Source organism: Homo sapiens, chromosome 15 (genome assembly GCF_000001405.40).
Source record: "Homo sapiens chromosome 15, GRCh38.p14 Primary Assembly".
In the NCBI taxonomy this organism is placed as follows: Eukaryota; Metazoa; Chordata; class Mammalia; order Primates; family Hominidae; genus Homo; species Homo sapiens.
Genome location: NC_000015.10, coordinates 101,188,464 through 101,214,872, shown reverse-complemented (window position 1 = coordinate 101,214,872; position 26,409 = coordinate 101,188,464). Strand labels below are relative to the sequence as shown.

General features: G+C 42.4%; 1 protein-coding gene across 4 annotated transcripts in view, besides 4 other annotated features; it reads left to right on the top strand.

The window, feature by feature from the left end:
- CHSY1 (chondroitin sulfate synthase 1) overlaps positions 1-26,409 on the top strand; it is a 76,322-nt gene that overhangs the window by 37,176 nt on the left and 12,737 nt on the right. Inside the window, exon 1 of one of the 4 annotated variants that reach the window (XM_047432240.1) lies at positions 13,450-21,853. The exons of 2 other annotated variants lie outside the window; for them this stretch is intronic. The gene's annotated coding sequence lies outside the window, so the exon portion shown is untranslated. Of the gene's footprint in view, positions 1-13,449; positions 25,446-26,409 lie in introns of those variants that run through there. One more of the 4 variants, XM_017022011.2, reaches the window with a different exon arrangement.
- Positions 8,979-9,144: a silencer, noted in NCBI's record as "fragment chr15:101745934-101746099 (GRCh37/hg19 assembly coordinates)". NCBI's record gives its function as "represses an EF-1alpha promoter that drives an FKBP-Casp9 reporter gene in an ReSE screen in phorbol 12-myristate 13-acetate-treated (for megakaryocytic differentiation) K562 erythroleukemia cells {active_cell/tissue: K562(+PMA)}" and the evidence as "EXISTENCE:reporter gene assay evidence [ECO:0000049][PMID:32094911]".
- Positions 16,375-16,669: a silencer, noted in NCBI's record as "tiled region #9624; K562 Repressive non-DNase unmatched - State 15:Elon". NCBI's record gives its function as "represses a minimal TATA promoter and a strong SV40 promoter by Sharpr-MPRA in K562 cells {active_cell/tissue: K562}" and the evidence as "EXISTENCE:reporter gene assay evidence [ECO:0000049][PMID:27701403]".
- Positions 20,827-21,370: an enhancer, noted in NCBI's record as "H3K27ac-H3K4me1 hESC enhancer chr15:101733708-101734251 (GRCh37/hg19 assembly coordinates)". NCBI's record gives its function as "activates a minimal SCP1, AML or CMV promoter by ChIP-STARR-seq in naive H9 embryonic stem cells {active_cell/tissue: H9 hESC(naive)}" and the evidence as "EXISTENCE:reporter gene assay evidence [ECO:0000049][PMID:30033119]".
- Positions 24,498-25,385: an enhancer, noted in NCBI's record as "H3K4me1 hESC enhancer chr15:101729693-101730580 (GRCh37/hg19 assembly coordinates)". NCBI's record gives its function as "activates a minimal SCP1, AML or CMV promoter by ChIP-STARR-seq in primed H9 embryonic stem cells {active_cell/tissue: H9 hESC(primed)}" and the evidence as "EXISTENCE:reporter gene assay evidence [ECO:0000049][PMID:30033119]".

Below are 26,409 nucleotides of genomic sequence, written 5' to 3'. Positions count from 1 at the left end.
GCATGAGAAATCCACCTCCATGATCCAGCCACCTCCCACCTATGCATGAGAAATCCACCTCCATGATCCAGCCACCTCCCACCTATGCATGAGAAATCCACCTCCATGATCCAGCCACCTCCCACCTATGCATGAGAAATCCACCTCCATGATCCAGCCACCTCCCACCTATGCATGAGAAATCCACCTCCATGATCCAGCCACCTCCCACCTATGCATGAGAAATCCACCTCCATGATCCAGCCACCTCCCACCAGGTCCCCCTCCAACATAGGGACTGCAATCCGACATGAGATTTTATGGAAACACAGATCCAAGCTGTATCACTCAGCATTCATATACCAAAGTATGTAAGCATCTGTTGCAGTTATTGAGGATATACACAAGTGAAAATTCAGTTATTATTTTAAGATGGCAGATGCAGACACAACTTGTGCAGTGACGTTGATGCAGATCTTACTTTAGTCCATGTCTTCCTAAAAAAAGGACGTAAGGTGCTTTTATGATATAAACTGTAGTGAAATGGGTATCCTTGCATCTTACACAGGCCCTGGTAAGTAGGTGTTCAGGGTATGTGAGGGACAGGGTCAGTGGGTGGCGAGATGTGCTGCACCCAGTAATGTGAAGCTGCTGTGTCTACCAAATGCAAGATGCGGCTGGGTTTGTCAAATAGGGGCCGTAAGTTCTGCACACACAGACAGCAGACACACATACACACCCTGATGTCTGTACACAGCACAGAAACAGTTTGTGCAATGGGGACTCTGCACAAGGCCAGATGCCATTTCACAGGCTTTTGCCCCACCAGCCCCACAGGTGATGGATCCAGGTCACTTGGGACTGGCCCACGTTTAACCAATTTTCCATGCCTGGGCTATCTGTTTAAGGTTGAAGGAGCCAGTTTTCATTGGAGGGAAAATGAGACAGTGGCTAGTTTGCCACATTCTTGTATTTTTGTTTTAACCGCATTAGGAAAAGTAAAAGCCTCGTGATTTTTCAGGTATGATTGAGTAAGACTTAAACACCGAGTCTAGGAAATTACACACAGTAGGAACTATGTAAATATGTAATGTGGGAGTTTGCTTTTCTTCGTACCTGTATCTTCTGTTTCATCTTGCTTCAAGGTGTGATTAATCACAAAGACATATTTTGTGCTGCTGTGCTGCTGTAGTGTTTTGGAATAGTTTGAGTGACTTCAGCGTAATTTATGCCATCCTACTTGCTTGTTCATTTGGGTCTCTATGTCAGCTATTGTGTGGAATACATTTGATAAACAGGATTTATCTGATTTCAGCAGTATTTTGTCAGGTAGCACATTTCCTTATTTTAAATTTGAGAATAATCTTAGAATATTCAGTCTGTTTACTTTTAGTATAATAACTGGCACTTGGGTTTAATTGTACCGTACTTATTATTTGTTTTCCATTGGTCAGCCTCTTCTAATTTTTTTTTCCAGTTTCGATGCTTTTTGTTTTTTTCCTTCCTCTACCATTTGTCTAATGGTAAGCTCTAGAGATTACCTCACGCAGTTTTGACTTTTTAAAGACTATAAACTAGTATCACTTCCCAGAAAAAATGCAAGGATTTTACAACACTGTAGCACAATGAAGTCCTCCCTCCTTTTAGGATATAGTTGTCAAGTGTGTGTGTTTCCTACAAGACATCATTGTCACTGTTCCATACAGTTGATTTTTATTTAGATTTATATTCATGGTTGCCCTTCCTCTTACTCTGTTTTCCTTACTACACCTCCGTTCTTCCATCTGGATTTCTTCCTCTTTTCGGAAGAATTAACTCTTTCAGATTTCCTTTAATATAGATTTTCTATTGATAATTTCTTCATTTTTGTCAAGTATTAATTTCACCTTCCTATTTTTTATTCAATATTTATGAAAAAATTTTAAATTGAAAGTGTTTTCAGTCAGTATTTATATACTTACCACCTGGATTCTACCAGTAATACTTTATTATACTTGCTTTATTACATATCTGTCCAACCATCTTATATTTTGATGCATTTCAGAGTTAATTGGTACACTTTCCTTCAAGTGTTTTCTACATGTTTATTATTACCTAGAGTTGCATATTGACTTACAGTTTGCTATTCTTTTAGATCATGTTTATATTCAACAAAATGCACAAATCTTAAGCTTGCATTCACCTAGTTTTGATAAGTGCATACACATGTAGTAACCCAGACTCCTTGTAAGATGTATATTACATTTACCTCAGAAAGTTCCTCCTGTCCTTCCCAATGAATCTCCCAGCTCAAGGCAACCACTGTTGTGATTTTCTTCTGCCAAAGATTGATTCTGTCCTCTAACTTAATATAAATGGAATCATACGTGTGGACTCTTGTATAAGGCTTCTCTCACTTGAGCATGTTTCTGAGGCTCATCCATACAGTCGTGTGTATCAGTTGCTCATTCCTTTTTATTGCTTAGTAAACTTCACCTGGAGTATTTCTAGTTTTTTTACTATTATGAACAAAGTTGCTTTGACTACTCTTGAACAAGATTTTGTTTGTGGACATTTTTTAATATTTTTTTGAATAAATACCTAGAAGTGGAATTGCTCGGTCAGAGGATAGGTATATACTTAATTTCATAAGAAACTGCCATGTGTTTTTTCCCCAAAGTAGCCGTATCTTATTAACTCCCAACAGCACCGTATGAGAGTTCTGGTTATTTCATGTCCTCATCATTGTTTGGCATTCTCAGTCTTTTATGGTTTTAGACATTCTGATGGGTGTGTAGTGCATTTACTTCATTGTGATTTCAGTTTGCGTTTTCCCTATGACTAGTGATACTGAGTGCCTTTCCATGTGCTTATTGATCATGTGCCTGTCTTTTGTGCAGTGTCTGTTCACACCTTTTGTCCATGACTTTTGCCTACCCCAAGTCTTGAAGTTGTTCTCCTGTCTTTAAGCCACCTACTTTTTTTTTTTTTTTGGATGATATATTTTCTAGGTATAGAATTCCAGATTGGCAGGGGTTTTTTGTTTGTTTGTTCGTCTTACTATTCTTGAGCGCTTGGAAGATATCATTCCATTGCCTTCTGATTTCAGTTATTTTCTGATGAAATCACCTCTCAAGTCGTATTGTTTTTTCTTTGAAGGTATTTTATCTTTTCTCTGTATTTAGGATTATTTCTCCCTTGATAGTCAAATAATAGAAATTTTTTTTCTCTTTGATTTTGAGTAGTCCTATTATGATGTGCCCAGTTATACTGTCTTTGTATTTATTCAGCTGTGATTCACTGAACTTCTTAAATCTGTGGGTTTACATCTTTCGTCAGTATTAGAAATTTCTCAGCCATTATTTTTATAAATATTGCTTCTGTCCCATTTTTGCATCTGTTTCTGGGTCTCTAGTTACATATATATTACACATTTTCACTGAGTCCTATACGTGTTTTATGTTATTTTCAGTATTCTTTTTCACTCTAAGATCTCTGGATTTTTTCCGTCTGACACACCTTTCATTATACTAATATCTCTTCAGTTGTATCTAATCTGCCATCACACCTATTGTGCTTTGTTTGTTTTTTGAGACTAAGTCTCGCTCTTTCGCACAGGCTGGAGTGCAGTGGTGCAATCTCAGCTCACTGCAACCTCCATCTCCCAGGTTCAAGTGATTTTTCTGCCTCAGCCTCCCAGGTAGCTGGGATTAGAGGTGCCTGCCACCACGCCCGGCTAATTTTTGTATTTTTAGTAGAGACAGGGCTTTATCATGTTGGCCAGGCTGGTCATGAACTCCTGACCTCAGGTGATCCACCCTCCTCAGCCTCCCCAAGTGCTGGGATTACAGGCCTGAGCCACTGTGCCCAGCCTAAACCTATTGCATTTTAACTTTTAGCTGTGTATTTTAATTTTAGTTATTTCATTTGATATTTTTAATAGTTTAATATTGTCTGCTAAACTTCTACATCTTATCATCTGTTTCCTGGACATATTAATCACATTATTTCAAAGCCCATATCTGACAAGTATAGGTTTCTCTTGTCTGTTTTTCTTGGTTTTCAGTCACTTGGTCTTAAACAGCTGGCATGTTTAGTAGCTTTTGACTGAATCACAAACATTGTATTTAAAAAAAACTGGAATGTCTTTGGATATGATTACTGTCCTCCAGTGAGGATATAATTTTGCTTCTGGCAGACAGTTAAGGTTGGACCACGTAACCTTAATCCAATCAGATATTGAGCTGAGTTTTGAATCAGCTGCTTCATTTTTCTAAGACTTGGTCTATTTCTGGCCCACCCCTGCTCTTAAGATGCAGTTCTCCTTTTCTCCCTCCACTTTCCTCCATTTCGCAGTCTTCTTGATTATGATTTCTTTAAAATCACAACTTAGATTCTAGTTTTCTTTGACTAAAAAAAACTATTTGTAATTTTAAAACTCAAGAAAATAGGATTTGAGATTCAAAGCATTACTTTTCCAGTATCCATCTAGTGTCTCTGTATCTCTTCTAGACGTTGTTTAAATGGGGATTAGTTTTTCTATTAAATGTAGGGTTTTTGCAATGACAGGAAGATAAAGTCTTAAGAGGTTTATGTTTAAGGTGTGATGGTGCCTTCAGCCTCTTTTTCTGCTAAGCACTTTTGCTTTGCACATTATGCAGAATTGTGGCTATAATAGGCCTTACTAACTCCCTGTGGCCAAGTATTTTTAAAATCTGACAATAAAAGGTACTGGCTAATCTGTTTAGTGAGTGATTATAATCAAATCATATTCCAAGGTTACAGATCTTGTTTTTGAACTTTGTTTTTTTCTTTTCCATGCTTTTTCCTAGAAACATTCAGAAAGTTTTACCAAGGTTAATCAGTAGGCAGGAAGAGAAATAACGGACTAAGAGTTGAAGACAAGTGCTTTAAGAAACTTACTCAGTATTTTAACGACACTAACTTGTAGTAACCTCAAAGAGTCTTCATTACAAAATTTAAGGCACTTGTATACTTTTTGTATACTTTCTGTGTTGAACTTGCCATTTCAGTTGTCATTCAGTACAGATCAGTCACATGCCAGTAGATTTCTTTTTAGCTTATAGTGTTGTCCTCACATCTTCCACACTAAGAAACTGAAGAATGCCACTATGTATCTTCTAAGAAAATACCTGTCTGTTGGAACAGTTTCTGATTCACTATTTATAACCTGCCCTGAGAATTAAACATAGAAAATATAGAAAGATTCATTTTTACTGCCCTTTCTCCTCCTCTGCTGACTTCATGCAAACATTTCTTATTGTTGCATAGCAACTGATCCTGCTATTTGTTATTTTTGTTTAGCAGGTTTTTTTTTCCCATGGAATATTGAATTCATATCACAATTTCCAGTCTCTGAAGCTCAGTGATAAAGGTTTTTACTTAACCCTTTTTCCTTAAAACAAAAAGCTTCACGGCATACAGGTATATATCGCTTTATTCTTCTTACGTAAGTCTATGTATAAGTTGAAGTTTTATTAAAACGGATGGCATTTTACGAACACTGGCATTATGTCCTTAGTCACTTTCAGTCTGAAACAGGTCTCCATCCTTTTCTTGATTTTTATGACCTTGACACTTCTGGAGCTTACAGACCAGTGGAATGTTTATCAGTTTGCATTTATTTTCTCATGATTAGGTTCAAGTGTGCAGATACTACAGAAGCGTTGCTGTGTTCTCTTTGTATCCTAACAGTTTGTGATTTTGGTTTGCTCTGTTATTGGTAGTATTAACTTTGGTCATTTAACTAAGGTAGAGTGATTAGGAAAACCTGGCCAGGTTTCTCCACTGTAAAGTTACTCTCTGTCTTTTTATATTTAGTGAGTGTCATTGTGGAGAGACTGTAAATATCCTGTTCCTCATCAAACTCCCACCCCCAATAGTTTTAGCATTAATTGATGTTTCTTGGCAGAATAAATGAATAGTGTGATGGTTGCTAAATGGTGATTTTCTAATCCAGTTATTCTTTCTACTTTTATTAGTTGAAAGTAAGGAAAAGCTTGTTCCTTTTCCCATTTACTTATGTGTGTGCTTGTATGAGTATACACTCTTGTATTCCTATTTTATTTAATGAGTTATAATCTCTTACCATTATTATACATTTCCATGTTTACATCACCTTAGACGTGTCCAGTGGCTGCTGTTTGTTGCAGGCTTCTGTATCTCTTTTTTTTTTTTTTTTGAGATGGAGCCTTGCTCTGTCACCCAGGCTGGAGTGCAGTGGCACGATCTCGGTTCACTGCAACCTCCGCCTCCTGGGTTCAAGCAATTCTCATGCCTCTACCTCCCGAGTAGTTGGTATTACAGGCGTCCGCCACCATACCTGGCTAATTTTTGTATTTTTAGTAGAGACGGGGTTTCACCATGTTGGTCAGGCTGGTCTCGAACTCCTGACCTCAAATGATCCACCCGCCTTGGGTTCCCAAAGTGCTGGGATTCCAGGCATGAGGCACCATGACTGGCCTTCTGTATCTTTTTGATATGCCCCTATAACTGTTTGAGCAATTTCTTTCTGGCATACTAAGATGTTTCAGGCTGTTATTTTTTCCCTGCCCTAGCCTTGCAGTCTGCCATCTCTCGAAGAGTCTCTGGTTCTTTTTAGTGGAAAACATTTAGAAGCCAAGATCTAGACTGTGGGTGTGCTCGTTGCTGTGGGTGTTGGCTGGCCCACTCCTGAGCAGTGGGCTGACCAGGGGAAAATGTGCATGTGTGTGTGTGTCCTTGGGTTCCCCCTGATACTCCAAATCCCATTTCAACCCCAAAGGGTTCTTCCTCTTCTCTCCCTTTCTGTATTTGTAATTGCTTTATTTGACAGTTGAGAAATCTAGCTGCTCATTGGCCTCAGCCACATTTACTTACTGCATCAGTTTCCGCTGTAAGTGAGCAATCCTCTGTTGCAATGCCTCCTTCCCGGTGCCTTCCCTATGTGACTCAACTCAAGGGTTGGCGGCCTACCTGACGCCCCAAGGCTGGGCCACTGCACCAGCCCACCCTCACCCCATCTGGGGACCCTATCTTGCTTGACCCCACTAGTGGCTTTTTACTTCAGGACAACGGGTGGGGCAGGGGCAAGAAGCCTAACTCCATCTTGAAATAAGCTTTTCAATTTTAGTTACTAGATTCCAGGTACTACCTGTGTCACATGGCAACGCAGCCCTCATTCTCAGAGGATTTTAAAAACCTGTTGGTAAATTTAGCAAGACTGAATATTTGCTTGGATAGTATATTCTGGAAGATCTATTTTCTTTGAGTGTTTATTTGTGCCAAATATTCAACTTTTTTTTTCTAGTAGATTGGGTCTTGTCTTAATTATTTCTGTATTCCATTTAGAGGTTAACATATGAGGCACTTGAGTGTTTGATGAATTAACAGATACAGAGCATATGAGAGAGGCACCTGGAAATTTAAGAAAAATATCCTGTTAACATTGAAATGAAATATTATATAACATACTAGAAGGTATTGTTGTTCACAGATAGCCAGCATCATGAGTTGGTTCTAAAAATCAGAATGAACAATTTTTAAAATACTGTTGTTAGTTGGCGAAGTGAAGACTTGGTGACGCTGATTCTTCCCATTCTGAAGGGTTATGTGGACGTAACTCTTTCCTTTGCTTTCAGCCAAAGACTTTTTATTTCCAAAAATGAGGTATAGAAGAAAAGACTTTTATTCCCATTTTGGATAGTGAGTGGCTTATTTTTCTTTTGACTGCAAATGCTGTGTTAATATAAAAAACATTTGTCAAGAGTAGACCCTTTCTGAGAAATATATTAGACAATATTTGTTTCAGTTATCTTAGTAGGATTTTTCCCCTTTTAGGTTTTGTTTGTTTCCTTTTGGCTTTGTTTTGTTTGGTCTTGTTTCTTTTAAATTAAACTAATTTTGGAATGTGCTGACACGCGAGAGTGGTACTGGATAGCCAGTGGAAATGCGTGGCATACGTTCCTAGAACATTAATTTTACCTGAGGTCTGGGAGAGAGACTTTTTTTATGAGATAAACATGGGTGTCCTAGAGTATCATTGCAAATTAGTGTGAATTTTTATGATTAAAAATGAGAAAAGAAATTTGGTATTTTTTGGAGGACTATTTTAGGCTGTGCCCCAAAACCCTGGGAATATTTGTTCACTCTCTCTGCCATTATGGCTGCTTCTGTGTAGGGAAAATAAAATGACAAACCTACATGTTTTCTCACAGATGATAAATGTATTTCTTCTTCTCTGTAGCCTATTAATTAATATCTAACACTGCTGTCTCTTCTAGCTTCCACAGTTTACTTTCTTTTGGTGCATAATTTAATGAGTGTTCGTTTATTTTCTGAAGTGTTATTTGTATAAAGTGAGCCCACATAAAAGCTTCTTTCCAAAGTGTTTTCATGGGAAACGGATCTTGGTGGTGATCTGTCACTTAGCACGTCACCGCCTTCAGAGCCCCAGCTGATGACTAACCCCACAGTGGGAGCTGCTACCCCTGCCTGTGGGTAGTGTGCCATGTCCTCCCTCACTGCGACCTCCACCCCTGCCTCTGACTCAGTGGTTCTCTTCAGTGGATCATATGAGTCTTTAGAAACAAATACCTGGTCGTTGGTTCTCCTGCCGACTCGAGACCTGGTGGGTTTTCCCTTGTCTGTCTAGTTTCACTCCGTGGCGCACGAGGCACACCATGCCTGTGCAGCCCTAGTCTTATCTCCTGAATCAAACCTCTCGCCTCAGAGGCTCACCCGGGGAGAGAAAGGAGAGCAGACAGAGATTGGAGTTTGAAATTAAACTTCTCATTTAGTATTGCAAACGTTATGAAGCATATATCAAAAATCAAATGTCCTGGAATCCTGCTGCCTTAGTGATGGAGCGTATTACTGTCTATAGGAACTTGAAATAGAAAACACTACCATACCAGGATCATGGGGTAGAGCAAATTAATAAACAATCTTCTTTTTTTTTTTTTGAGACGGAGTCTCTCTCTTTCGCCCAGGCTGGAGTGTAGTGGCGCTATCTCGGCTCACTGCAAGCTCCGCCTCCTGGGTTCACGCCATTCTCCTGCCTCAGCCCCCCTGAGTAGCTGGGACTACGGGCGCCCACCACCACGCCCAGCTAATTTTTTGTATTTTTAGTAGAGACGGGGTTTCACCGTTTTATCCAGGATGGTCTCGATCTCCTGATCTCGTGATCCACCCACCTCAGCCTCCCAAAGTACTGGGATTACAGGTGTGAGCCACCACGCCCGGCCAACAATCTTCAAAATTAAAATTCTTCACTTAGAGCAGAATAAGCATGTATGGGTTTGTGTGTTTAAATGTCAGGCTGCTAATACTAATAGTCGTTAGTAGAAAAATCAAGCTCAGTTTTGTGATCACAGTACTCTTCAGGTTTGGGTATGTGTCTTTTCACAAGTAGCTATAAACATCTGGTAGACCTGTGTGTTTTCTCTAGTTATCAGGAAACATTGTGGAGTCTATGTCAATTGATTACTAGCTTGTTTATATAAATGGGGAAATATAAAGACCAGGCTTTTTCTTAAACAACTGAAGAGTATGCTGGTTCTAGTTTCTTTCCTCTGAATCATGTGTGTGTGGTGGCAATTTAGTGACTGGGAGGCACTGGAAATTATTGGTTATAATAAATTGATGTCATGCCCACAGCACAGCAGGCAAAAAGGATGAATTAGAGACAGAAATAGTAATAGGGTTTTGTCCAGGAAACCTCAAGCATATGAGGTATTGCCATGTTGATTACTTTAAAAAAAGAAAAAAAAAGATAAAATATTAGAACTTTAAGCTTAATAAAAATAGATTACAGAGGAAAAACTTCTTGCTTTATGCTTCTGAAAATCTCTCTGAGTAGTTAAAGAGCTGTTTAGAAATCTGTTAGCCATACTTTCATGATTTGCTGGTGGATAGAGTATGTAGTATTGCGAAAAATTAGTTACTATGATCTTCGCCAAGTGACAGTATTCTTAACTCTGCCAGATGGTCTTTTTTGTGTGTGTGGCGGGGGGATGGAGTCTCGTTCTAGTGCCCAGGCTGGAATGCTGTGGTGTGACCTTGGCTCACTGCAACTTTCGGCTCCTGGGTTCAAGCAATTCTTGTGCCTCAGCCTCCTGAACAGCTGGGATTATAGGTGTGTGCCACCATCCCCAGCTAATTTTTTGTAGTTTTAGTAGAAATGGGGTTTCATTATGTCAGTCAGGCTGGTCTTGAACCCCTGTCCTCAAGTGATCTGCCTACCTTGGCCTCCCAAAGTGCTGGGATTACAGGTGTGAGCCACCATGCCCAGCTGGATGGTCATTTTTAACCACTGTTTTTTGGGGGGCAATTTTTATTTTGAAAAAATTTAACTTAATAGAAAACTCCTATAAGTCTTTCACCCAAATTCCCTGATTATTAATATTTACCACATCAGCTTTATCATTTTCTCTATAAGTGTACATTATTATTATTATTATTATTATTATTATTATTATTTGAGATGGAGTTTCGCTCTTACTGCCCAGTCTAGAGTGCAATGGCACGATCTCGACTCACTGCACCCTCCATCTCCCGGGTTCAAGTGATTCTCCTGCCTCACCCTCCCGAGTAGCTGGGATTACAGGTGCACGCCACCACGCCCAGCTAATTTTTGTATTTTTAGTAGAGATGGGGTTTCGCCATATTGGCCAGGCTAGTCTCGAACTCCTGACCTCAGCTGATCCACCCACCTCGGCCTCCTAAAATGCTGGGATTTACAGGTGTGAGCCACTGTGCCCGGCCTACATTAGTTTTTTCTGAACCATTTGGAAGTTGCAGATATAATGCTCTTTTTGCCCTTAAATCAGTATGTATTTCCTAAGAACAAGGTCATTCATTGACATAAACACAACGCAGTAATCAAAATCAGGGAAATTAACGTTGATACAGCACAGTTATGTAATCTACAGAGTTTAGTCATATTCTGTCAGTTGTCCCAGTAATGTCCTTCATAGCAAAATAAAGAACTTGAGGTGTTCCAGAGTGTAGTCTAGGGTCACATGCAGCATTTATATGGTATGTCTCTTTAAGTGCCCTTTAACCTTGACCTTGTCTTTGCTGTTCATGACCTTGACGTTGTTGAAAAGTACAGATGAGTTATTTTGTAGTTATTTGTCCTTCAGTCTGGGTTTATCTGATGTTTCCCCAGGCTACGTGATGTGTCCTCAGTGCCTCACATCAGGAGCACATGATTTCGGTGTATGATCCATACAGGCAGTGTTAACTTTGATCTCTTGCCACGATTCTCCTCTGTAAAAATCACTACTTTTGCCTTTGTTATTTAATAAATACCTTATAGGGAAATATTTTGAGGCCATGAGATATCCTATTCCTCCTGTAAGCATCATCCACTAATTTTTACTTGAGTTAATGATGAGTTAATCATCCACATGATTTTTACTTGAATTAATGATGTTTGTCAAATGATGATATTGTTGAGCAGCCGTATATGGGGGCTTTTGGTAATTCTTAGAAGAATTCTGTTTCTCCATTCTTAGAAGTAGTTTGAATGACTGTAGTTGTGGGAAGCCTTTGTATTGAAATTAGTGTGTCTCTTTTCCTCTATCCTCCTGCACACTTGGATGTGTGGCCTTGACCTGTGGAGTGGGCTGCCTAAAGGGAGAAGGTCCATGCCTGTCAGGACTGTGGACAGGGTCTACTGGCTGTGCTGTGGGCGCCCACGCTGCCTTTATACTCCCTCACCCCCCCTATTTCAGGGGTTTGTGGTTTCTGCAACCCAGTGCATTTCTACTTTAAAGCTTGGCTTTAGGTGCAATCAGTTGTTAATAAAATTGATTTGTGGTTGTTTTCTTGTTTGTTTACTTGAAAATAGCCGTTACTGAATCCCATTGTCACATTTTTATTTTTATATGCTAACCAGCACTAGTAATGTTTTTCTCTGGAAACAAGTAACCTCTCTATAGCAGTGCAGATTGGATTTTAAGAAATGTGGAATTTAGGTCTACATCCAGCATAAAACCCAAAGACCATGTTATACTCCCCAAATTATAGCTGGTTCATGATGGTAAAATATTTTTTTTCTTGTTTGATTACCATTACATAATGGCTTTTAAGTTATTAGTCCTCATTTTATAATCTTTTAGTCTTAACCACCTCTCCCAAAATCCCTAAATTTGCAAACTACTATTTATATGTTAGCCTTTTAAAGTTAAAAAAAATCCTAAATGAGAGTCACCTTATTCCATGTTTACCAGTGAGTGCTGCAAGGGGTCAGAAATGCCCTCCATCCTCCCCTGCAGCCTCTGCTGTGTCTGAGATCCCACTGCCCCTCCTGCAGAAATGCCCTCCATCCTCCCCTGCAGCCTCTGCTGTGTCTGAGATCCCACTGCCCCCCCTGCAGAAATGCCCTCCATCCTTCCCTGCAGCCTCTGCTGTGTCTGAGATCCCACTGCCCCTCCTGCAGAAATGCGCTCCATCCTTCCCTGCAGCCTCTGCTGTGTCTGAGATCCCACTGCCCCTCCTGCAGAAATGCCCTCCATCCTCCCCTGCAGCCTCTGCTGTGTCTGAGATCCCACTGCCCCTCCTGCAGAAATGCCCTCCATCCTCCCCTGCAGCCTCTGCTGTGTCTGAGATCCCACTGCCCCCCCTGCAGAAATGCCCTCCATCCTCCCCTGCAGCCTCTGCTGTGTCTGAGATCCCACTGCCCCTCCTGCAGAAATGCCCTCCATCCTCCCCTGCAGCCTCTGCTGTGTCTGAGATCCCACTGCCCCCCCTGCAGAAATGCCCTCCATCCTTCCCTGCAGCCTCTGCTGTGTCTGACATCCCACTGCCCCTCCTGCTGCTTCCACCCTGGCAAGCTTGATAGGACCAGAGCTTGTCATCAGCAGCTTCTGAAATTGCTAAAGCTCATGGAATGCAGTCTGTCCCATAATTTAGCCCCGATTGAAAGCTGAAGTGTGTTGAGGGCTGAGGGTTGTCCTCCTTAGCTGCTGTAGTGGGCCCTTCCCTGGCTGGCTTGCTGCTGGCCTGAGATTCCTTCTAACCCCCTCCTGGACACCTACTGGGAGAACATGAAGGCAGCCTCCAGTTCTCTTTGAACACAGTTCAGGAAAGGTGGAAGGTAACAGCCTTCCTTTCCATCTGGTTAGGCTGATCTCTCTAAGAAACACTGGCTGGAATGAAAGAAGGGCAGCCCCTACCAGCCCAGGGCCACCAGAGCTGCCAGGGAACGCCTGTCTGTGTTTCTTCCCTGCTGCTGGTACTTGCAACCTCTGTCATCCTGCCATCCAGTGACTCACAGCTGCAGCCCTAGCTAAGATTTAACTCCTCTTGGAGTCTTCCTGCCTCCTCTCCTCCCACCCCACTGCCCAACCGCCTGCTGGAAAGGCAGCCCTGCCGCTCCACCAATCAGATGGGTCAGACCAGCCCCAGAAGGATGGGAAGGAGTTAGGCTGGGCGGGCTCATTGGCTTCCTCCTTGTTCTTAGGCATCTTTCTCATGTGAGCCTTTCTCTTCTGCTCACTCGTCCCCACCTTGTTCTATAGGACGTTTGGTGGTTCCTCCTGCCAGGATGCCTTAACGTTGATATTCACGGAAGGCTGAGGGTCGGGGGAGTAATAGGCAACTCCTTCTTTAACCACCAGCCTCATTATTCATTATTTTCTTTATGTAGTGGATTTTTGCCAGACATGCATTACAATCTCAGATGATTCTACTCTATACCCATTTGTGGGGAATCACTGTTCTCTAAGAGGAATTAAAGGAGATTTCACATTCTCTCTCTGGCTTGCCCCGCCACCCCCGACCACCTCCCCCCGCACCGCCCCCACCTATAGACACACTCTGGGTTGCCCTGGGAGGGCAGTGGGCAGTGGGATATTGGATATTGTGTTTCAGAAGGTGTACAGGCTCCCACAGACCCTGGCTCAGGCAGGGAAGGGGGACAGGATTTACCCAGGGTGGCTGACTTCGCACACATGGCGAGGGAGAACCTCCTGCCTCATCCACAGAACTGTGGCCTGGCAACATGAGACCTGGCAGAGGGAGGAGGGGTGGCTGGAATGTGAGGAGACCTAAGGGGTATGCAGAGCAGTTGGGGTGGGTCGAATTATTCCCAGCAAGCAACATGACCAGGGTTCCATATTGAAAGACCACCCCGACAGGTTCAGAGCAAGGTGAGGCTGGGGCAGAGGAGACCTAAGAGATTTCTGCAACAGCCAGGTAAGAAATGAAGAGAATCATAGCTGAGAGGCTTGCTTGCGGGCTGCAGAAGAGTGGGTACATCGGAGAGACTCGGGAGCTGCATCTGGAAGAGTCTGGTCCCTGACCCATCTGGGGGTGCAGGGGCTGGCAGGTGTTCTTAGTCAGTGCATCTTTCATGGTACTTAAGAACAGTTCTTGAACAATTCTCCTAACCTTGTTTGTACTGTTAGTTTGCCCTGAATTGTAACCCCAGAAAAGACTTTTGTGACTTTTCTGGTCCAAACCAGGCAGGAGACAAACTGGGACCAAATTAGTCAGGAGACTTGCTCGAGGACACAGCCTGTGAGAAGCAGGCCAGGCTCCAGCCCGTGTCTTCTTCGCGTTGTGTTTACCCGTCATGTGAAATGCAGTAGGACTGCAAACCTGAATAATTTTGTCGATAGATGGCATTTTTGCGTAAAGGCGTCTCTTATTTTTTACGTGGATACTCTTTAAAATGAAAATCAAAAAAGTTATTCTGGAAGTAAACTGGCTCATGAAATGACAACATATGGTGACAGCATTTCGTCTTATTCAACCTAGAATGTCATCTTAGTTCCCGGATGATAAGGGATATTTGGAATGAGGTATTTATTTTATGTTGTAGAATATTGGATAACTGCCACAGTACCGGGCATATAGTGAGTATTCACAAAACATTGGTTGCGTGAAACGAATTGTGTGAGTCACTTTTTCTTGTATCTTATTCAGAACGATGCTTCAGAGGGCTTTTGTGACTCACTTGTCTCCAGTTGCTGATGCAGCTGTAATGCTGTTAGACACAGGGATCAAATGAACATACGCTGCTGTTCGTGGTTTTGGGGGTTCTATTTTGGGGAGTGCTATGTCTGTTTTTAGTTTCTTGAAACTGCCTTTTATGCACAAAACCGAAGTAGACTGAATCTATAACTGCAGAGCCACACAGAATCTGGTGCGTCGTGTTTCCTGTCCAGCATTGCCACTTCCAGGTTTTTCATCTAACTTGAATAAAACATGTTTATTTTTTACAGAATTTCCACAAAATTTTATTTTTGAAGTTGCTTTTCAGAAAATCTGTTTTTAACTGGTAAAATACATGTCACATCTAAATACACAGTTCAGTCATTTAAGTATGTAAGTTGCGCAACCAGTCTCCAGAACTGTTTCATCTGAAATGATGTGTTTTTTGTTTGTTCGTTTGTTTGTTTTTGAGACGGAGTCTCACCCTGCCGCCCAGGCTGGAGTGCAGTAGCACAATCTCGGCTCACTGCAACTTCCGCCTCCTGGGTTCAAGCGATTCTCCTGCCTCAGTCTCCTGAGTAGCTGGAACTACAGGCGCGTGCTACCACGCCCGGCTAATTTTTTGTATTTTTAGTAGAGACGGAGTTTCACCATGTTAGCCAGGATGGTCTCCATCTCCTGACCTCATGATCCACCCACCTCGGCCTCCCAAAGTGCAGGGATTACAGGCATGAGCCACTGCGCCCGGCCGCAGTGATGTTTTTTGAAGGAGTTCTGTTAGAATTGAAAAGGTAGGAAGCTGGAGGCGCAGTGTCCACAAATGTAACAGAGTGTCTTGGTGTCAGGAAAACACAGCAGGGCACAGGTCAGGCATGTGGTTTGGGCAGCAGCAGTGGGAGCAGGGAGCAGCTCAGTGGTAGATGGGAAGGCAAACTGCTTAGGAGGATGCCACACTTAGGAATGAGTTTCTTTAGGCGAAGTCTGCACGTGCCTGGTTTACCTCCAGTAAGTGGGGCTCCAGCATAAAGGTGAAGGCTCTGGATCACAGCCAGCAGACTCTTTGTGCTGTGTAAAGGGTTGGCGGGTAAATGTTTTAGGGTTTTTGCAGGCCGTGGGATCTCGCTCCCAGCTGCTCAGCTTAGCCACTGTAATGCAAAAACAGCTGTAGACAGTAACAAAAGTGAGTGTAACTGTGTCCCAGTAGAAGTTTTAATGGGGGATTTTGGCCAGTGGGCCGTAGTGTGCCGACCCCTGCCCTGAGTTACAGATGTAAGTGTTTCTGTTTTGGGCCTGGTACTACGACTGCTGTTTCCTCTCAAGTTATCCAGTTTTTGAAAGTACGCTTTCTCCGCAGTGAGATGGGAGCAGTACCTGTAAAACCTGTGCCTGGCATGCGATGACATGAGATAATCTGTAAAATGCCACTCGGAAAGTAGAAGTTACTGATGTGTTTTTTGTGAGCGGTGACTCTGAAAACTGGCTTTTAAATCATAGTTCGTTCATGGGTTCCCGTGTTTAATGTAGTAGCCAACTTAAGACTTACGAGAGGGCCAAACCACCGTCACAGACACCCGAGAGGACGCAGCAGAGACAGATGTTAATTTCTCTGTCCAGTAACGGGATGGCTTTTCCAGGATTTCGGGGGACTGTGTTCCTTGTCATTGAGGGGTCCAGGGTCTTCCATTTTGCTTTACTGCCGTCTCCTGTGGCATTGTCCTTCACCGGTCAGTAGCGTGGCTGCTGTGCTTAGGTGACAGACAGCTGCAGGAGAGGAAAGAGCCTGGAGACACAGAGCTCAGAGCCAGGTCTTAAGCACAAGCCAAAAGGGGAGCGGGTCTCTCACTCACACTCTGCTTGGGGGGGTCTTGGTTCACACCTAACTGGACAGAAGGCCCGATAGCCGGAGTCAGACCACAGTCTGTCACCACAGGGGAAGGGGGACAGATACATTGGCGATGAGGTCGCAGTCTGTGCGACGTGACGGAAACAAATCCTTACATCCCAAAGTGAGTCCCCAGCAGGCTTTCCTCTCTTTGGTGGACTGGGTTTTTGTTTCTCAGGTTTCAGATATAAGGCGTCCAAATACCACTCGCGGAATTCTTAGCGTATACCAAGGTCAGATGTTTAAGAAATGCTATTGCACAATGTAGTTTAATTGACTTTTAGGTTTAAAAGCTCCTAATTTGAGATTCAAATAGGCTTCTAACAAGTATTTCCATTCGTAAGAATCCTGGCTTCTTAGGAATCGGTCACCTGTATTTGTAGTTTTGGTTTTGCTGTATAGTAATTTAACATTATATACATTTATAGCTTTACATTATATAAGGAATTTATCATTTAACATTATAAATTGTTTATAATTTAACATTATATAAATGCCGTAATTTGGGGTGTCCTTAGATATTTGCCCTGAATTTGTCTCTCCTAGAAAATCATTCTGGCTGTAATCGTAGATACAAGGACTTGGGAATCTTCTCAGAGTATAAACCAGCAGATCAGTCCAGATGGAAACGTTTCCCTTAGGGTTCCTTCCTTTAAATTTGTGTTATATGGCTTTTAGTTCTTCCTCTGCCATAACAGGTGAGCTTGGGAATACATTTGTGATTAAACTTACATTTGGGCAGGTATGGAAGTGTCTTGTGATTAGTTACCAAAGCTTAACGTGACCTTTAAATAAGGAACATAATTAATGGGCTTCCAGTCAAATATATCAATAATTTGAGGGAAGAATCTTAAATTGCCAGGCATTGCCTCTCCCCACTCCTTCCACCCGTTGGGGCTGGCCTTGAACTCCTGGGCTCAAGTGATCCTCCTGCCTCAGCCTCCTGAGTAGCTTGGACTACAGGCATGTACCACCGCACCTGGCCGGAAAATCTCAAATTGCATAATGCCACTTTCTTTGGGAAGAAATCAAGCAAAATTTGTGATTCTTGAGTATCTGTATAGATGTATACTTGTGAAGTAGGTAAACAAAGAATAAAAGAATTAAGACTAAACATGCTTTGCCCCTTTTTGTTCTAGGAATGTACCAGTAGTTCACTGAATTGCTGGGGTCACATACAGCCAATGTGGTATATTGAAGGGTTTTTTTAAAATTATTTTTTCTTTCAAATACAAATGAGGTCTTGCTATATTTCTTAGGCTGTCCTCGAGCTCCTGAGCTCTAGCGGTTCCCTTGCCTTGACCTCCCAAAGTGCTGGGATTATAGGCATGAGCCACCATGCCCAGCCTATATCGAATGTTTGACAAATACATTTGAAGCCAGGGCATTTACATTTAAATTGTGGCTTTATTGCTGGTGTTGGCTAATCGTCCTATAGTTCGCATAGTGTATATGGTTCCTAGTGTATATAGTTTATAGTCTAGTCATGGATCTCGGGGTGTAATCCCGCTTGGTGGCATTACAGTGCTGTGGCTTCTCTCAAGTTAGTTTGACATGAGTTATACCCTAAGATAATAACAGTGGTTATCACTAGGTAGACAGAATAGGTTTAATGTTTCTTTTTACCTCTCTGAGTTTTCCTGGTTTCTGCCAGTAAACATGGGTTATGCCGTAAACCTTCCCACTTCTGACACCTGGCCTTCACATCAGCATGGGACACCAGAAAGTGCCTGAATAAGAGCCAGCAAAGAAAAATGTTTTCATTTCTTCTAGTGTAATTTATACTTATGGATCTCATGAGAATTACATTGTTTAGTTAGGGTATGCTTATTTTACATATATGTTTTTTTTTTTTTTTTTGAGACTGCTTCTCGCTCTGTCACCCACGCTGGAGTACAGTGCTGTGATCTTGGCTCACTCTGTCTCCCAGGTTCAAGTCATTCTTCCGCCTCAGCTGGAATTACAGGCGCCCTCCACTACACCTGGCTAATTTTTGTATTTTTAGTAGAGACAGGGTTTCACCACGTTAGCCAAGCTGATCTCGAACTCCTGACCTCAAGTGATTCACCTGCCTCAGCCTCCCAAAGTGTTGGGATTACAGGCATGAGCCACTGCTCCTGGTCTTGTATGTCCATTTTTAATATTTATATATAATTTATATTAACTAACTGGGGTGTCGACACTATGTATCTGGAATTTGAATCTATTTGATAGTCTCTCCTGCAATTACCTCCTCCCTGGAGACAGGGTTTTTTTTTTTTTTTTTTGAGACGGAGTCTTGCTGTCACCCAAGCTGGAGTGCAGTGGCACTATCTCGGCTCACTGCAAGCTCCGCCTCCCAGGTTCACACCATTCTCTCGCCTCAGCCTCCTGAGTAGCTAGGACTACAGGCACCCGCCACCACGCCCGGTTAATTTTGTTTTTGTATTTTTAGTAGAAACAGGGTTTCACCGTGTTAGCTAGTATGGTTTCGATCTCCTGACCTCATGATCTGCCCGTCTCAGCCTCCCAAGGTGCTGGGATTAGAGGCATGGGCCACCACACCCGGCCAGCTTTTAAATAAAAAATGTAATAAAAAGTTTGTAGCTTTCGGTTGACACATGACTTATACCTTTACCATTAGCCTTTAAACTTTCTCACATCTGTGAAATTTTTGTTGTTCTTATAGCTTATAATTTTCATGTCTCTTTTTCTTTGGTTGAAATCCTGACACAAATAGTAGGATAGCTTGGTTTTATTTAGCAGTTAATGTTGTTAACTATTTCAGGAAAATAAGATGATCCAAAATATGATTATTGCTCAGGTGTGATATATGAGTATGTAAGTACTGTATAGTTTGCAAAGTATAATTAGTTTTGTAATCTTATATGTGAATATGTTGCATTAGAAGGAATATTTTTCAAATGTCAGAGTAGGATTATGAGTGATTCCTCCCGTTTCCAGAATTTTATAATAAGTATATATTGTTTTATAATAATAAAGAAGGTTTAAAAATAGTTCATCGTAAGTGATGTAAATGTTTCTACTTGACGGCATTTTAAGAGTCGCGTGGGTTATGGGCGAGCTTATGAAATGCGGTTTGTAAGACTACTTTTCATTCATGAATCCCTCTATTTCATTGTAGTCAGTCTGTTATAAGACATATGTTGTGGAATCTGTTCAAAACCTGGGGAGGAAGTGCATGAGATCTTATCTTCTTGGCATCAGAAGTGTACTCTTGAAAGTAGAATTTTGACTTTTTGAGATGCCACTGTTTATCCTCCCACCCTTCACAGCTCTCCCTGTCTCCCTTCTCCCAACCCAACCCATGCATACAAAAAGTCAGGGTTTGTGATTTAATTTAGAAATAGAGGCAAGATTAGAAAATGGAATTGTGTGGAGACTTGGAGATCATGTAGCATGCAGCAGATCTGTTCTAGGAGGAGTAGGAAGCTCTGGTTGTGAGTGATTGAAGACCACTGCACTGTTCAGAAGCAGCTGTCGCATCCTCTTCCGTTCAGCACCTGATTATTATGTAGCTTTATTTAATGGTGCAAAATACCAAGTAGAGAACAAGGAACATAAGGGCAAAATTAATGGCTGGATAGCTGTTGTGGCTACGTAATTCTGATCTAAAATTAGTTTAGAAATTACAATTGAAAATGCAATTGTGAAATATCATTTTGAAATACTTTAAAATGCTGCCTAGCCTACTGAAATGTTTCTCAGTTGAGGTACCCATGTAAAATGTGTGCGTACACATGGACACACAAACAGGCTAAGAAAGAAGCAGAGGAGTAGAGACATTTAATTAGTTGAGACAGGTTTACCTCCAATGAAATTTTTCTTTTCTTTCAGTTTGTAGCACGTGGGTGGTCTATGTGTTAATGTTAATAATAAAACAGAAGTTACCCATTCTTAGATTACTTAACTCTACTGTCACTAGTGATGGCTTTCCTGCCGAAGGCGCTCCGTAGCTACATGAAGAGGGCACAGAGAAAATTACTTGAAGCTTTCGAGTCACTTTCACTTTTAAAAGATGCTGGTGGCCTTTGGATCCCACTTTGCCCTGGTGCTTGGCCAAGGCCAGGGCATCTGACCGCCCCTGAGCACATGGAGGAAGAAGGTGGTAGAGGGAGGTGTGGAAATCCACGCTGATGGCCCTACCCTTGCTGGTGCCCTCTGTTGCTGGGACTCAGTGCCCCACCTGCTCACCAAGCAGAAGTGATGTCAGAGTGGTCTCCATGGCCAAGAGAGCAGGTTTTGTCAGGCAAGGAAGGAGCGTGAAGATGCACACTCTCCTGGTGTGGAGCATGGTGCTATCCCCAGCGTGTCTTCCTCGGTGCCAGGAGTGTTGGTATTGTGTGCACATTAAATAGAGGACTTTCCCACTCTTCTCTTTACTCTTATGCATTATCTGACCCAAATTTGGGTCCATGGAGTAAACATACTTGGTCAGAAACTGTGAATAGTCATTTCCAGCATTTAAACCTTTCTTGCTGATGACGCCATTAAAATACGCACATGTGCATGCACACAGCGTGACTGCGGCTGGAGAGGAAGGAGCGTTCGCCTGCTCCCGGGCAGCTGGTCAGGCTGGTGGCCCAGCCGTTTATGCTTGCTCCGTGCTCCAGGGTGTGGCCCCTTGCCCAGGGGAAGAAATGAATGTTCTGAAAGAGCACAGCGTATTCTTCAGTCTGCTCCAAGGTTGATTCCCTCTGGAAAGCTTCCCTGGCCCCCTCACTGCTGTCTGGTCTCCCTCAGGTTTTCCCTGCTGGAGAGGCCTTCCCTGACCCAAGGATATGATGCTGCAGCCCTGCCCTCGCTGCTGTCTCCCCAGCTTCGTGGTTCTCCAAAGCTCTCATCCCCGTCTGACACACTCCTTGTTTGTTGCCTGCTTGCCGGACAGGCATTTCTAGTTGTCTTGTCAAGAACCAGCCCGAGAGAGAGCTGAGAGCCAACCTCGGCTTTGCTGTGTGCAGTGGCTGCGGGGTGTGAGCAAGTTGCTGAACGCACAAACTAGAGTATCCCTGAAAGTAAAACGTGCACAGTAACAGAGCTACCTCGTCGGATTACACCAGTGCATACAGGGTAGGTCCTTGGTATAGCTTCCGAGAGATGTTAGTTGTTAATGTTATTATATAAAATCACATAAATTATTTCACTTCAATGGGAGAGGAGTGGTAATAAGCATTTTTTAAAATTGGGTGCCTCTGAAGGGTGAAAGGGCTGGCTGACAGTTTAAACATGTTGCCTAGAGTTTAGCTAAAAGGATAGTTGAATGATTGTGCAGGGAGGTAGGTTATTTTGGAAATACATGTAGGATGATTACTTTCAGCTATGACATCTTAACCTTTGGATAAATGTTTATTAAGGGAATACATCAATGCCAGGCTCTGCTGTGTGCTGTGAGACCTGCCTTCAAGGCACCTCTGTGGAGCCACGAGGGAGGCGTTTAGAACTCTGAATTCTGAGAATTCTAGTTGATCCTCTTTGAAGGATGCTTTTCCTCTCGTATTTCTGAAGATATTGATCTTCTGTATTTGAAAGTCCCCTTGTCTTAGCTCTTGTTGCCATATTGTTTGGGAGTGGGGGGAGTTGGGGTTAAGGTTGGCTGTCTTGCCTTGGCTGGTCTGCCCCAGACCCCTGCCTGGCTGTCTGGGAATCTGAGGGGTAGGAGGTGGGGGTAGGGATGGGGATGTCTTTTCTGAGCAGGCAAAGGCCCTGTGCAGAGTGTGTGTTCTCTTAGCTCTTGTTTATTGGGCATGACACGTCTCTTCTGTTGTAATGTTTACGTATTGACAGGAGCCACTTACATTGTTGTCTGTGATTAATCTTTTTGTCCTTACCTGTAAACGAGATACAGTATCTACTCATTCATTTATTCAGCAAGTACTTAGAGGGCAATTACTCAGTGCTTGGCACCTAGAACAAAATGAGTTTTGCTCTCAAGGAGTTTAAAATTGTGAGGATTAAATGAGTGTGTTGAGAGAGAGAGAAGTATGGTATCTCATAGCAGATGCTTAAAAATATTTCTCTCTTCTTTTTGTATAGGGCTTTTTAGTTTAGAATACTGTGTTAAAGAACAAACAATCCTACTCATTGTTAATTATTAATTACTTGCATTTTATTTCCACCTACCTCTTTCCACAAAGGATCTGAAGTTTAGTGTATTTTATATATTTCTGTAAATTTTTTTTTTTTGCTTAGAGCAGTGAGTAGATAGATGGATGAAGGAAGGAAAATGAATGAATTTATTATAAATGAGAAGCCAGAGAAAAAGTACTACCAGTTTCCCCTACAATCTACTTAACATAGATAATTTGAGGATGTTTTTTCCCTAATAGGTTGCTTTAAAAAAAAATTAAGTTTTTTGGAGGAGCTTTAGGTTCACAGCGAAATTGAGTGGAATGTGCAGAGATTTCCCAAGTGGCGCCTGCCCCTACACGTGCACAGTCTCCCCCAATATGGACACCTTGTACCAGAGTGGTGGTACCTTTGTTACAATTGGTGAACCTACAGTGACATATCATTATCACCCGAAGTCCACAGTTTACAATAGGAGTCACTCTTGGTGTTGAACATTCTGTGGGTTTAAACAAGTTTATGACAGATACCCTCATATATGTATCATACAGAACAGTTCACTGTCCTAAAAATCCTCTGTGATCTGCCTGGTCATCCTTCCTTCCCCTGTAACCCCTGGCAACCACTCATCTTTTTACTGTCTTCATAGTTTTGCCTTGTTTTGTTTTACAGTGTTATATAGTTGGAATCGTACAGTATGTAGCCTTTTCAGTTTGGCTTCTTTTACTTAGTAACATGCATTTAACTTTCTTCCGTGTCTTTTCATGATTTGATAGTTCATTTTTTAAAAATGCTGAATAGTATTCCATTATCTGAATGTGCCACAGTTTATTCATTCACCAACTGAAGGATATCTTGGTTGCTTCTGAGTTTTGGCAATTATGAACAAAAGTGCTGGAAACGCCCATATGCAGATTTTTGTGTGGACACTAACTTTTCAGCTCTTTTGGGTAAATACCAAGGAGCTCACTTGTTGGATCCTATAAGAGTATGTTTAGTTTTGTAGGAAACTGCCAAACTGTCTTCCTAAGTGCCTGTAGCATTTTGCATTCTCCCCGGCAGTGAGCGAGAGTCCCTCTTGTTCCATGTCCTCACCAGCATTTCGCGTCGCTCCTCTCGGCCCTTCTACTAGGTGTGTCGTGGCATCTCGTTGTTTGAATTTGCATCTCCCTGATGACATATGATGACTTTCACATGCTTTTTTCTACCATCTGTGTAACTTCGGCAAGGTGCTTGTTAAAGCCTTTGGCTACTTTTTAATTGGGTTGTTTTCCTATTTTTGAGTTTAGAAATTCTTTGTATATTTTAGATAAGTCTTATAAGTCTGTGAATATTTTCTTTCAGTCTGTGACTTGTCTTATTCTCTTGGCAGTGTCTTTTGCAGAGCAGAAGTTTTTAACTTTAATTAAGTCCAGTTTATCAATTCTTACATGGAGTGTGTCTTTGGTGTTGTGTCTAGAAAGTCATCACCAAACCCAAGGTTGTCTAGATTTTCTCCTCTGTTTTCTTTAGGAGTTTTGCAGTTTTGCCTTTTGCATTTAGGCCTGTGATCCTGTGAAGGGTAAGGTCTGTGTCTCGTTTCATCTTCCTGCATTTGGATGTCCAGTTGTTCCAGCCCCAAGGGTTGAAAAGCCTGTCACTTCTCCGTGGGATTGCTTTTGTTGGTTGCCTATGCTCTGAAAACTGTTCATATTGCTTCCCTGGGAATTTGACACTATGGAATTTAAAGCTTTACTAGCTTCCCTTCCCCACCCACCCTTCCCCAGAAAAACAAACCCACTCCCTCTTCTTCCCTCAGTCCCCTCTCCAGTGTTTTTCTTACCCTCTTTTTTGAAAGAAAACTTTCAGAATGGTGCCTTTGTGAGGTAGCTGTGAAGTGAGAGTCCCCCCTCAGACTTCATATGAACTGGAGATGGCAGACGTGGAGTCTTCAGCCTCACAGGGGTCGTGCTCAAAACCTAGGGTCCAAACCTGTGGCATTTAACCCCACCGCACTCAACACTGTGTAATGACAGAAACACTGACAGTTCTGAGTGTAACGCATGACCCAAAGCTGGGTTGGGACCCCAGGGCTTCTAGAGCAGTTGCTCTTCCTCCGAGGACTCAAGTGGTGGAGCTGGGCTGCGGGAACCCTTGCTCCCCGCCCACAGCGCCACTGTGCTGTCCCCACTCACCAGGCCTCCACTGTCCCAGCGCCGCTGGAGTCTTTAGGCGGTGGTGGGGGTGGTTGGGTTTTTTAAGTAAGACATTTCTTCATTAAATGCTATACGTTAACACGGCGTTGAATGTCTTTATGTCGAATAAGATTCTACAAAAAGTCAGGTGTAGATGAAAAATATCCTAGAAGGAGGTGAATCTGTAGGTCATATTTGACCCACAGATATACTTTGGCTTGTATTTCTTTTTTCTCTCTTTTCCTTTTCTCTGTCCCTTTCCCTTTCTCTCTCACTTGAACTGGTTGCCAGCACTTCAGTTAGACTTGACACAGAACAGCTGGATTTCTAGCTTCCCTTTAAACCCGGCTGCACTGGGCCTGTGTGGCACGTCCTGGTCCCCCCGAGCTCCATCCCTTCTGGCTTACATCCACCTTGTCCCTGTAAGTTTGTTTTTAATTTTATTTTTGATTTAGTTTGTGCTTTGGCAGTCCCCTAGACTAGAGCTTATATCACGTTCTCGTAGAGACATGTTGGGTCACGTGTGACGCTGGTGTGTGGTCCGTGTTGACTGGAGTGGAGAGGGTGCTGAGAGAGCACGGGCGTGGAGGCCAGAGGGCCATACCTGGTGCTGGGTGGGCCGGGTTTAGAAACACCTTGGGAGAGAAGCCTGGTGGCCGCTTCGTGGCAGGCCCGGGCTGGGACTCTTTCGCCCGCCACGCTCGCCGGCTCGATCTTGTGTTCGCGCTTGTTTCTTCTCTGTACGTGACATTTGGGCTTTCACTGCCTGGTACGGCGCCTTTCACGGGAGCGTTCAGTAAATATTGAGTGCCGTGTGTGCACAGGACCTCATCTGTTTAAAGATGGTTCTGCATGTATTCATCCTGCATCATGCTGCCACGTCTGCCACTTCATTTTTTTTTTGTTAAGGCGATGCCTGGTGCATTCAACTGATTGCCCCAGATCAGATGTTTGTGAAGGGAAGACATGGGAGTTTAGATAGTTTTCGGACTGCAGATAAGGGTCTCCTACCACAGTCTCTGCTGATGATGTAGACATGGAATGTTCAGTTGCAAAATATATTGTTTCAGTTTTATCGCTTTACTTATAGTCTTATGCAGAAGCCTTGAATTACTAGCAACAGCTTTTGTTTTACTTTGCTAAGCTTAATTCTCAAAATTATTTTGAAATGAGTCAGGCTTCTCTAAAAGGTGTTTAGGTTTCAGAATTAGTAACCATTCAGGACTCATTCATAATAATTCTCTTTTTTTTTTTAACCACTAAAGTCCCAGCTTAATTTCCATGACAATTTCAGTTTTTAAAACACAAAACGTAATCCTTGAACTTAATTAGATGAAAATTGGCAAAGCCTACACAAAACTAATTAGGAAAGACCTAGCAGGGACA